General features: G+C 43.5%; 1 annotated feature.

The window, feature by feature from the left end:
• Positions 11,771–11,971: a silencer, noted in NCBI's record as "peak3422 fragment used in MPRA reporter construct". NCBI's record gives its function as "represses an SCP1 promoter by STARR-seq MPRAs in K562 erythroleukemia cells {active_cell/tissue: K562}" and the evidence as "EXISTENCE:reporter gene assay evidence [ECO:0000049][PMID:32103011]".

Raw genomic sequence — 13,595 nt, forward strand, 5'->3', positions numbered from 1 at the left:
TGAGTATACTTAATGCCATAGAAGTGTACACTTAAACAGGAAAAATGGTTCAAATGATACATTTCTGTTGCAAATATTTCACCACCACCACAGAAAACAAGTCCAATGTCTACTCACTGACTTCCCCAGCCCCTCCCAGTAAAGTTTTCTGAATTACTTGCAGTCAATTCAGACTATACCAGATGAAGTGTTTCTGATCATCCCCTTGGCTCTTTGTAGAAGCAAATACCCAGAATGGCCATGTCACAGCTCCCATATGTTCTCCCACGTCCCCTGCCACATATGGTGACACATGGCCACGGACTGCAGGCCCGAAGGTTATTTTCATCATGGCAGTGTTCCTCTTTGGCCCACATCCCTAACCTGGGATCAAGTTACTGTGGTCTGGGTCAAAGCTGGCAGCCCACAAGGTTTTATAGAGAGATGCTGGAGTATTGAGATGCCAGAGCAGGACTGAAGTTAAAACATTACACAGGAGGCCAGAGGAAAAAAAAGGGATTTGTCCAAAATCACAGAAGAGAAATGAGATTATTTTCAGTCACACTCAGGAGCTTGCTGATCCTGACAATAACCCTGACGCTGTGCTTGGCAATGCCCTCTCATCGGGGGCATCGGGGGCTAAGCACAGAAGGCACATGTTCCTGAGTGTTGTCTGCATCGATGTGGTTACATGATTCCAGATGGAAACAAATAATCTATTCTTTAATAATCTGCCCTCTTTTAAGACTGGCCCTACTTGATCTCCTGTCCCCACTTAGAAGCTCACACCCCAGCTGCTCAGGAGAATGGCGTGAACCCGGAAGGCGGAGCTTGCAGTGAACAGAGATCGCGCCACTGCACGCCAGCCTGGGTGACAGAGCAAGACTCCGTCTCAAAAAAAAAAAAAAAAAAAAGAAGCTCACACCCCACCCCAGAGCAGCTCCATCAGGAAGAAGTTATACACTTCTTGTATAACTTCCTGGATTATAAAATGTGGCAGCTGCCTGCCGATACAGTGCAAATGAATGCAAATCAGTTGCCAAATGAAATTGGAAAAATCTTGCACCTTCTATAAGATTTGCAAAGTCAGTGAAAGTGACAAGGGAAATGCCTTGAATCCCACGCAAATCACTGACAAATGAGGATAACGCAGAGTTACGGTAGTTAGTGCAGAAGAAAAAACCACAAAGCGATGATTTGACCACAGGCAAGCTTCAGAAGCAAAAGAGGCCTGCAGGAGCTCTTGGAAAAAATGGAAAAGTCTTCAAACATTTGGCTGAGGAGATCCTCCTAGGACTGTAGTTACGAGTTAGGCAGTTGTTAATAAGACTTTCAGAAAAATTGATTTGTTCTGTAGTACATGATTGCAACTAAAACAAAGATTGTTTTAAACATAAGATAAAATAAACAAGTGTTTTTTTTCAACTTATATTTGAAGTTCAGGGACACATGTGCAGGACGTGCAGGTTTGTTACATAGGCAAATGTGTGCCATGGTGGTTTGCTACACAGATCACCCCATCCCTAGGTATTAAGCCCAGCATCTATTAGCTATTCTTCCTGAGGCCCTCCCTCCCACAAGTGTTTAATCAAATCTTTTTTATTAAACTTATTATGAAATATTGTTCCATTTTAAATGGATTCCCTTTTAAAAGACCTTTTCTAGTGCTGCTAGCCTGACAAGTGAGCCCACTGTGTGTGTTGTGTACGTGTGTGTGTGCGTGTGTGTTTGCACGCTTACACATCTTCCTGTGTGCAGCCTGCATGCAGCAGTCCCCTTGCCTTCCAGCCACATACCGTCAAGACATGGGCTGAGGTTACCGGCTGCATGTTATATTGAACAAATTAGCAAATGAAGCTGGTATCCACACAGTGCCATTTCTCAGTCACCATCCCCAGAAGAGTATTTTGTATTTTATTTCCAGGAATGGGGCATAAGTTCACAGGAATACTTTCCCCTCCTCCCCCAGTGTTCCTTAAAAAAATCATGCTTTGTGTTTGTACCTTGCACTTTCAGCTTTGCTGAAGGGCTTACCTGGCATTATCCATTTTTACCCCACAACAACCTTGTGAGAGTTTCCAGCAGGAGGTATCAGCCCCATCAGACAGGCCGAGGTAAAGAAAGGCTCTGTCCAGCAGACCCAGTTCCTCTCCACCCTCAAGGCTTCTGCCTCCCAGACCAAGCACCTGTGATCCTGCCCTGTCAGTCCTGCACTTAAACTGACAGCTCTGACGCTCTGGGGTCAGCTTGCATTACGCCTATCACCTCCATAGCTCAGCTCCATAGTGTGATGCTACTCAGCAACCCAACACGTTAAGATGGGGGCGCAGAAAACCTGAACACACAGAGAGAATCTACCGTAATGAAGAGCAGGACATTATAGTGGACAACAACAGGATTAAGCACCAAATTAGAAGCCAGAAGTGGGAAGTTCCCATTCCAGCCTCACTCCTCACTAGTTGTGTGACTGACTTCAGAGAGCAGGTCATTCGGCCATCCTCAGCCTCAGTTTCCTTGCATTTGAATTGAAAATCATTTTTAAAAATGTGTATCTTATTTAGTTCTAGAAAGGGCCTTAGTATTAAAATCTCAGCCCTGTATTGAATTATACAAGAGTATTTGAGGAGCAAATGAGCTCATGGAAATCTTTTAAATTATGACCCTAAAAAATGAGATGAAGGGTCATTGTTATCTACAAAAGACACTAAAAATCTCATTTATGCCCAAATAACCAACTCTTCTTTAAGCAAAAGCATATTTGAGACCCAATCATTTTATTAGCAATAGTAAAAATCAAATGAAAAGAAAACCTCCACTGTCATACAAACCCAGTCAATGCATCCTTTTCTTTTTGTACGTCTTCTATCTCATTCCCTGTTCACAGTTAATCTGACTTAATTTAATTATAATCGCAGCATATATTATATTGTGATTTCTGCATTTACCCATGTTGTCATATCACCCACCAACAAAAACAGAAAAAGGCAAAATATGTAAATATAATTTCTCATTTCCACATCTGATGCCCAATCTCTTTCCATAGACAAACATAGGGTAAAACGTCCTTGGAATTGATGTCCTATAAGACGGAGATAAGGAGAAAGGCCTGGTTGGCTATTGAACCTCTACAGCTATCTCATAAAACACTTTAAAATGGCAGAAATATTTTTATCCATATCAGCCCATGTGGCAGCCACTAGCCATGTAAGACCCGTGAGCACTTGAATGTGGCAGGTGCAACTGAGGAACTGGACATTTAATTCTATACACTTTTAATTTATTTACATTTAAATCAGCACATGTGGGTAGCGGCCACTCTATTGGACAGCACAGGAGTGCCTGGCTGAGCAGAGAGCTGGCTGAGTTTCAGCAGGAGATCCGAGCACAGACCAGGTTCCCACTCAGTGCCAGGGTCCCTGAGGCCCAAGACTCTGCACCCACCCAGGCATACTTGTCCTTTGTCACTTTCTGGCTGCCTAGTGTTCATTTCCCCTTCTAAAAGCAGCTGGATTTCATTTGGTGACCTACTCTTTTCATGTCATGTCCTTGAGGCAAACCTCCCCAGCATCTTGTCTCTCACTGAAGAGAGTAAAAGGGGACTCCTTACTCTTTGGGAATGGGTCTGTGGCCCAAGCCCCCTACCCAGATGGTTCCTCCAGGACTTTGAGTACTTAGAATCCAGAATCACTCGAGTTGTCCTCTGCAGTGGCAGCAGTGGCCACATGTTGCCAGCCACATGGAGGGGACGAAGATTTCCCATCCTTGGGCATCTTGAGCTTCCCAAACCCGTTTCTTCAGCCCACATTATATGTCCCATAAATCCCTTTTAACATAGATTATTCAGACACTGTTGTTTGCAGGGTAGGAACCCTAACAGGCCCCAAAGATGAGCCAGGGATGGTTCTGATCATTCTCCCTGTGTGTCCTCAACCCAGATGTGCTCCAGGAACTTCCTCACTCTCATTTCCATTCTTCCCCTGGTATAGTCTGCTCACCCAGAACTGATAGCATGGCTGTTTAGGTTTTCAGCCTGAAGCACACTGAAGGCAAATGGTGCGACAGGTTTTTCTTTTTGGGAAAAGTGCGTCTCCCCACTTTGAATCTCAGCATGACCAATATCTGTCTAGGGGCCTGCTGTTCATGGATGGATGTGCTAATTCAGAGTCAGCTGAGAAGCCCACCTCAACCTCCAAAAGCTTTTCACCTGGACTCCCCACCACCCCCTAGCACCAGCCCATAAACATCTTATTTAAGCCAAGGAAACTCTATACTGGAGGCTGGAGGGATCTCTTGAAGAGCTTGTACATCTGCTTGAATGCTCAAAGGATCAGCCAGGACCAAAGTATATACACTACCAGACGAAAGTATCCCTTCAAAGGACTCGCACTCTGCTAGAGGAGCACATTCCCAAGACTCCACTTCACTCATTTCATCTGCGCAGCAGAACCCAGCAAGGCAAGCCACTCCGCTTTTCATATCCTGACATTCTGAAGGCAAGTGCTGATTACCAACAGCGCAACCGTGAAACAGCACCACGGGGAACACTTTTTAACATATCTACCTAATTAGCCCCTTATAAAGTGTAATGTGATTTCTTGCCTCATCTTGTCATTAGTTTCATGAGAGTCTTTAAGAAATGACAGAGTCAGAAGGGAGAAGAAAGAGGCATGTCACACCCAACTCCATGTGCTTCCTGAATGGCCCAACTGTCCTTGAATTTAGCAAGGTGCACATGAAGCGCCCCCGAGCTTGGCACAAGGGCTTGACTGCTTTAACAGAGCTGTGGGAAGAGTTCCCCCAAGCAACTTACATGCTCATGAAGATAATGCATAGACCCCAATAACTGCATGCTCCATTCCAAAATAGCTTTGGAGAAATAAGCACCGATGTAGCCATAAGGAAAATTACGTTCAAGTCTCAGCCAATTCATTTATAAATCTGTACCTTGGGAAAGCCATACCCAGTAAGTCTACTCATGGGCCTACAGCATGTTGATAAGGCCATGAGAAGATGACCGTAAAAGTGTGTATCACAGTCATTGCTAATATGTATTGAGCGTTTTACTAGATGCAAAGCATCTTTGGGATGATTTCTTTATAACACAGTCAACATGGTCAAAACCATTCATTCATTCTGATTCAAATGTCAGGGACAGTCTCCCTAAAAGCAACATATTCGGAGAGGTCTTGCCTCATCCCCTGATCAAAAATTGGCCTCTTCTTTCATTCTCTCTTCTTAGTCCTTGAAACAGTTAGAGTCATATCTCATGTTAAGGATTTGGCTTTTTAATTCCCATCTCCCCCATCAGATTGTAAACTCTGCAAGGCAAAGACCACGTCTGTTTTGTTCACCCGATTTCTTAACATAAATCCTGCCATCTAAATGGTGATGAATAAATATTAAAATGATGACTGCCTGCTTTGTAGGCGAGAGAACTTCCAGAAGACCCCCACCATGGCAGATAAACTGTCTATATTTAAAGAAGAGAGCTGCAGAGTGAGACTCCTTAAACTACTGCCTTTTATTTCAAGCATTCCATACAGTAGGGACACAGCCATAAAGAGGACGCACTCTATTGATTGAAGAGTATATTAGTGGGAGAATTAAATTCATGCTCCTGGATTATGTTAATAATATTATTTCCTACTAACACATCTGATTACTGTAGATTTCAATATATAATATTAGTCTTCTTAGAATCAACATTAGGTATGATGATGTTAGCTATAATGACTTTAGCTAGATTCTTTTATTCGCTTAACACAGATTAATCAAATGCCTCGTGTGTAGCAGGCACCATGTTGGTCCCAAGTAGTATTTGCAAAAAAAATGACTGAACTTTATTCTTAGGGTTTTGCGGGGGGGGGGGGGGGGAGGACGGGTTGGGTTTTTTATTTTTTTGTTTTTTTTGCCTTTTTTTTTTGAGACAGAGTCTCGCTCTGTTGCCCAGGCTGGAGTGCAGTGGCATGATCTCAGCTCACTGCAACCTCTGCCTCCTGGGTTCAAGCAATTCTCTGCCTCAGCCTCCTAAGTAGCTGGGATTACAGGCGCCCACCACCATGCCTGGCTAATTTTTGTATTTTTACTAGAGACAGGGTTTTACCATCTTGGCCAGGCTGGTCTTGAACTCCTCACCACATGATCTACCCGCCTCAGCCTCGCAAAGTGCTGGGATTACAGGTGTGAGCCACCGCACCTGGCCTATTCTTAGGGTTTTGGATAACAGTCTGAACACCAATATCATATACCTTATACCACCTGCTCACCATCCCATTCTCACTCTGTTTTCTTTAATTTTTTAATTTGTTAATTTTTGTGAGTACATAGTAGGTGTATATATCTATAGCGTACTTGAAATGCTTTGATACAGGCCTGCAATGCATAATAACACATCATGCTGAATAGGGTATCCATCTCCTCAAACATTTATTCTTTGTGTTACAAAGAATCCAATTATACTCTTTGAGTTATTTTAAAACATATAATTAAGTGTAATTGATTACAAGTACCATTTTATGCTAACAAATAGTAGGTCTTATTCATTCTTCCTATTATTTTTGTACCTATTACCTGTCCTAACCTGCCCCCTGCCCCACCTGTCCCACTACTAATCCCAGCCTATGGTAACCATTCTTCTACTCTCTATGTCCATGGAGTTCAATTATTTTGATCTTCAGATCCCATAAGTACATGAGAAGATGTAATGTTTGTCTTTCTGTGTCTGGCTTATATCACTTAATATAATGATCTTCATTTCCACCCATGTTGTTGTAAAGAACAGGATCTCATTCATTTTTATGGCTGAACAGTACTCCATTGTGTAAAAGCACCACATTTCGTTTATCTATTCATCTATTGAGGGACACTTGGGTTGTTTCAAAATCTTTGCTACTGTGAACAGTGCTGAAACAAACACGGGAGTGCAGACATCTCTTCAATATACTGATTTCCTTTCTTTTGGGTCTATACCCAGCAGTGGGATGGCTGAACCATATGGTAGCTCCATATTTAGCTTTTTGAGGAACCTTCAAACCACTATTCATAGTGGTTGGGCTAACTTACATTCCCACCAACAGTGTATGAGGGTTCCCTTTTCTCCACATTTCACCAGCATTTGTTTTTGCCTGTCTTTTGGATACAATCGATTTTAACAGGGATGAGATGACATTTCATTGTAGTTTTTATTTGCATTGTTCTGATGATCAATGATGTTGAGCACCTTTTCATATGACTGTTTGCCATTTGTATGTCTTTTTTGAGAAATGTCTATTCAAATATCTTGCCTATTTTTTGATCAGATTATTAGATTTGTTTTTCTCTAGAGTTGTTTGAGCTCCTTATATATTCTGGTTATTAATCCCTTGTCACATGGGTAGTTTGCAAATATTTTTTGCCCACTCTGCGGGGTTACCACTTTATTGACTGTTTCCTTTGCTGTGCAGAAGCTTTTTAACTTTTTAACTTGATGTAATCTTTCATTTTATTGGTGTTCTTATTTACAATCAATGTTAATATTGATAAGTAAGAACTTACTCCCGCCATTGTGTTAACTTGTTTTCTAGTTGTTCTGTGATGTTCTCTGCCTTCTTTCTTTCCTTCCTTTAGTGAAAGTGATTTTTCTCTAGTAATATGATTTAGTTTCTAGCTTTTTACTTTTTGTGTATTCATTGTATGTTTTTATGGTTTGAGGTCACTATGAGGCTTGCAAATACTATCTTATGACTTTTTTTTTTCCTTCTGAAACAGAGTCTTGCTCTGTCATCCAAGCTGGAGTACAGTGGTGTGATCTTGGCTTACTTCAACCTCCACATTCTGGGTTCTCATGCCTCAGCCTCCTGAGTAGCTGGGATTACAGGCATGTGCCACCATACCTGGCTAATTTTTGTATTTTTAGTAGCGATGGGGTTTCGCCATATTGGCCAGGCTGGTCTCAAACTTCTGACCTCAAGTGATCCACCCACCTTGGACTCTCAAAGTGCTGGCATTACAAGTGTGAGACACCATGACTGGCTTCTTTATGACCTGTTACTTTAAGCTGATAACAACTTAACATTGTTTGCATAAACAAAGAAACAAAGAAGCAAAAAAAAAGGAAACTAATAAAAACTCTACGTCTTAACTTTGTCCTGATTTTAAACTTTTTGTTGTTTCTATTTATATCTTATAGTACTGTCTATGGCTTGAAAAATTGTTATAGTTATTATTTTTGATTGGTTCATCATTTAGTTTTTCTACTTAGAATAATAGTAGTTTACACATCACAGTTACAGGGATATAAAATTCTGTGTTTTTCTGTGTGCTTACTATTACCCATGAATTTTGTACTTTCGCATGATTACTTACTAACATCCTTTTCTTTCTGATTGAAGTACTCCCTTTGGCATTTCTCATAAGACAGGTCTAGTGCTGATAAAATCCCTCAGCTTTTGTTTGCCTGGGAAAGTCTTTATTTTTTCTTCATGTTAGAAGAATATTTTTGCTGGATATACTATTCTAGGGTAAAAGTTTCTTTCTTTCAGCACTTTAAATGTGTTGTGCCACTCTCTCCTGGACTTTAAGGTTTCCACTGAAAAGTCCACTGCAAGACATACTGGAGATCCATTGTATGTTATCTGTTTCTTCTCCCTTGTTACTTTTAGGATCCTTTCTTTACCCTTGATCTTTAGAATTTGATTATTAAATGCCTTGAGGCAGTCTTCTTTGGATTTAATCTGCTTGGTGTTCTGTTTTCTTGTACTTGGATATTGATATTATTATCCGGGTTTCGAAAAGTCTCTGTTATTATCCCTTTGAATAAACATTCTACCCTTATCTCTTTCTTTGTCTCCCCTTTAAGGCCAATAACTCTTAGATTTGTCCTTTTGAGGCTATTTTCTAGATTCTTTGACATGCTTCATTATTTTTTATTCTATTTTCTTTTGAGTCCTCTAACTGTGTATTTTGAAATAGCCTGTCTTCAAGCTAATTCTTTCTTCTACTTGATTAATTCTATTATTAAGACTCTGATGCATTCTTTAGTATGCCAATTCCATTTTTTATCTCCACAGTATCTGTTTGATCATTTTGAATGATTTCAATCTCTTTGTTAAATTTATCTGATAGAATTCTGAATTCCTTCTCTGTGTTATCTTGAATTTCTTTGAGTTTCCTCAGAGTGGCTATTTTGTATTCTCTGTCTAAAAGGTCACGTATCTGTTTCTTCAGGATGGGTCCCTGATGCTTTATTTAGTTCATTTGGTGAGGTCATTTTTTTCCTGGAATGTCTTGATACTTGTAGGTGTCCATTTGTGTCTGGAATTGAAGAGTTAGGTATTTATTGTAGCCTTTGCTATCTGGGCTTGTTTGTACCCGTCCTTCTTGGGAAGGCTTTTCACATATTTAAAAGGCCATGGGTGTTGTGATCTAAGTTGTATCTGTTTTAGGGGGCACCCCAAGCCCAGTAACACTGCAGTTTTTGCAGACTCAGTGGTATTGCCTTGATGATCTTGGACAAGATCTGGGAGAACTCTCTGGATTATCAGAGAGACTCTTGTTCTCTTTCTTACTTTCTCCCAAAGAAATGGAGTGTGTCTGTTCTGAGCCACCTAAAGCTGGGATAGAGTGACATAAGCACCCCTGTGGCCACCATCACTGTGACTGTGCTGAGTCAGACCTGAAGCCAGTGCAGCTCTGAGTCTCACCCAAGGCCGACTGTAACCGCTCCCCGCCTAGGGCTCAACAATCAGCAGACGGCAAAGCCAGCCAGGCCTTTGTCCTTCCCTTCAGGGCGATGAGTTACCCCCAGTTTCCAGGCTGGTCCAGAGGTGCTGGCTGGGAGCCTAGCTGGTGTTCTATTGTACTGTGGCTGAGCTGGCACTCGGACAACAGGATGCAGTCTTTCTCACTCTCTCCTACCCTTTCCAGAGGCAGGGCAGCCTTGCCCCATGGCCACCACCCCACAGGCCTATGCGGAGTACTTTCAGATTACCTTCTATGTCCCTTGAAGGCCCCCAGGGCTCTTCAGTCGACTGTGGCAAATGCTGCCTGGCCTGGGACTCACCCTTTAAGACAGTGGGCTCCCCCTGGCCCAGGGCAAGTCCAGAAATGCCTTCCAAGAGCCACATCCCAGAATCAAAGATTCCAAAAGCCCCCTTGGTGCTCTACCACCCTGTGGCTGTGCTGGTGTCTCAGATGCAAGACGAAGTCCCTTCTACATTTTCCTCTGCTTTTCTCAGGCAAAAGGAGTCTCGGCCATGGCCACCACAGCTGATAATGTGCTGTCTCCCCTGAAGCCAGTAAGTCTCAGAGGCTCTCAGTGTAGCAGCTGGGTATTACTGTTAACATGGGCTACCCAAAAGGGGCAAGAGAACTCAAATAATATATCACTAAATAGTAATAATACTTATCAATGGAAAGATAAAAGATTATGTCAAATGGAAAAATACACATGGTATTCTGCTAATGTGTAGAACATAAAGTTCTATCAATCCCAACACTACAAAATAATACTTATATAGCTAGGTTTGTCATAGTTGAAAGCAACCAGGCCAATTTCAACAGAAAAACAATTTAATTGAGAATATTCGGAAATTCACGTACATGTTCGGAGGCTTAGGGAACCAAAATGAGGGACAGCATAAACACTGCCCCAAATGACACAGAGAATGGTTTGACCTGCCACTGGCCCTGGACATCTCCACCATCATTGCTGCCTCTGAAAACCTTTCTTGCTAAAACTGCCAATTCTTCCAGAGAGAGGAGGCCCCCAGAGCCATGTTGTTGGTGGATGGGGGCTTCTGAGTGACAGGGCCCATGCACATGGCTGTGCCCTAGTGACAAGAGAGGCAGAAAAAATCAGGCACTGACTCATCTCTTCATAAAGTGGGGAAGAATGCAGACAAGGCAGAGACTCAGATGTGGGGTAGCCAAGGAGAACAACCAGTATGGATTGCACTGGCACATGGAGATGGGCGAGAATCCCTGGCAAGAGCAGCAATGCTTATTGGACTAGATGGGAACAGGGAAAGTTTGACCTTATATTTCTTTGTTATTCTGATATTGTTTTGCAATAAAGCCACTTAAGCAAATGGCTTAAGGAGGCTGAGTGCAGTGGCTCACGCCTGTAATTCCAGCACTTTGTGAGGTTGAGGTGGCAGGATTGTCTGAACTCAAGAGTTCAAGACCAGCCTGGGCAACAAAGCAAGAACCCACCTCTACACACACACACACACACAAATTTAATTAACTGGGTGTGGTGGTGCATACTTGCAGTCCTGGTTACTCGGGAGGCTTAGGTGGGAGGATCGGTTGAACCCAGGAATTCAAAGCTGCAGTGAGCTATGATCACACCATTTCTCTCCAGCCTGGGCAATAGAGCAAGACCTTATCTTTTTTTTTTTAAGGCTTAAAATAAGAGAAAATAAAGAAAGACAATAACCAAACCCCATTCAAGTGCTGCCTGCCCCTGAAGCCCAGCGTGGGTTGGTGGCAGGCGCCCTGAGCTTGAGGCCTGATTGTGGAGTGCAGGCATCAGACTCAGAGGGCCTGGGAGGCTCTGGAGCTTTCATCAGTTCACAAACCTCTGTCACAGCCTGATAACAAAGTTGTGGAAACTGCAACAAAGAATCAGAAAAAATGGGGAATTGGGAAATCACAGCAAATATTTTTCCCATGCTCTCAAATAACAGAAAGTTTACTGAAACAGATCACTTTCATCATGAAAACTGCAGTGAACTAGCTCAAGAGACATGCAGCAGCTCACAGTGTGTGCTTTGAGTAGACTTTCCTGGAAGAAGCAGCACCTCCTAGAACACAAATTCTAGCTTCATCGTCCTGGGTCAGCTTTCTTGGGACCCGGGGGACAAACTCCATTAACTTTTCCTCCTGGCTTTGCATTGCCAAACAGAACTTCTGGTCAACCTCCTTTCAGTCCCAGCGACCTCACAATGTCAATGGCCTCCAAGGGTAGCAGTGCTTGTTCTGGCAGCTTCTCCATGTGGAAATGGTCTTTAGAATCCTGGAAGGAAATCATTTTATGAAGCATGCATACCGTGAGAACACCTGACCCACAGTCCTAGGCTCAGTCAGAATCTACCCTCTGAAAAAAAATGTTTCTTCTCTGGAGCGTGGGTGTAACATAAGCATCTACTGAATGCCAGATAGTTTTATATTTTTTATATTTTAATTTTTTTAGAGACAGGGTATCACTCTGTTGCCCAGGCTAGGGTGCAATAGTGCAATCATAGCTCAATGCAGCCTCAACCTCCTGTGCTCAAGCGATCCTCCTGCCTTAGCCTCCCGAGTAGCTGGAATTACAGGTGTGTACAATCATGCCTGGCTAGTTTAAACTTATAAAAAAAAAATTAAAAAAAAAGATATGAGGTTTGGCTATGTTGCCCAGGCTGGTCTTGACCTCCTGTCCTCAAGTAATCCTCTCACCTCAGCCTCCAAAAGTGCTGTGATTACAGGTGTGAGCCGCCACGCCCAGCCAGCAGGCAGTGGTGACATATAGGAGTCAGATAAGAAGTGAACAAGACAGACTAGGATCTCCACGAGGTGGTGGCTTTGTCTGACTGACTGAGATTGATGCAGTAATGATACCCAAAGGGGAAACTGATGAAGTAAAATGAGGGGGGGTGGGCAGTTTCACTCACCTTGTCTCCTTCTGGCAGCCAAGAGGGAGAGGTGGGCAGCACCGGGAGGCCGGGATGGTTTTGCTCAGGGCCCTGACTGCCTGAACTGCTTCTCTAAATAACCTGAGGCCTCTTTCTGCACTCAAGGGCCCCATATCCTCTGATCCCTGTGTTGCTGCACCCGAATCAGCCCAGGCTGGGGCAGCATGGATTCCAGGTGGAGCAGCTGCTGAGTCCCTGCTAGTTTCTGAGAATAGCTCACAAGAGCAGAGGTGAGATTCTGCAGAGCTTTGTGGGTCTCTAAGCCAGTCATCCATCTTCCTGCCACCTTTGGAGCCCTCCAGGGATGAGCAGAACCCATGTTTCATGAACACATAAATTACTCAGTGCTCCGTAATGCACCCTGTAAGCCACAAAGGCCACAGATTAAATCATGGCAGTTGTGAGGACAGAGCCTGAGGCTGTGGCTGGACCAGTCTTGTGCAAGTGGCCAAGTGGAGAGGGGTTTCAGGCTCCCGGTGCCAGCCACAGCCTCGTCCCTCTTACCCAAGGCCCTTACAATCCCACTGTGTCATTTCCTTTGCACCTGTTGTCACTACACCCTCTCTACTGAGCTGTAGGCATCGCTACAGGGGCTGTGATGTGGCAGCCGTGTGAGCACAACCTCGCAGCCTGGAGGTGGAGGAAAGAGGACTGGACTCAGAGCCTGAGGACCCGGTCCCATTCCCACACTCTCCCCAGCTGCCTGTGTGACCTGACCCTCTGTGGACCTTCATTTCCTTGTCTATAAATGCAGGAAGCGGGGAACATAAAGGTCTGCAACACTGAATGCCTTCCATGGAGGATGCAGCCCCACCAAAGGGCACTTGAGCTCTCTCTCAGTTTGTGCCGCCAAATGACACTCTTCTGTGGGTGAAATTCCGCCAGCAGCCCCCAGCTACCTCGGAAGCTTTCCACTCCTGACGCTGATCTCAACGGAAACCTTCCTCCAAAAGCAGCATTTTC

Source organism: Homo sapiens, chromosome 19 (genome assembly GCF_000001405.40).
Source record: "Homo sapiens chromosome 19, GRCh38.p14 Primary Assembly".
Taxonomy (NCBI): domain Eukaryota; kingdom Metazoa; phylum Chordata; class Mammalia; order Primates; family Hominidae; genus Homo; species Homo sapiens.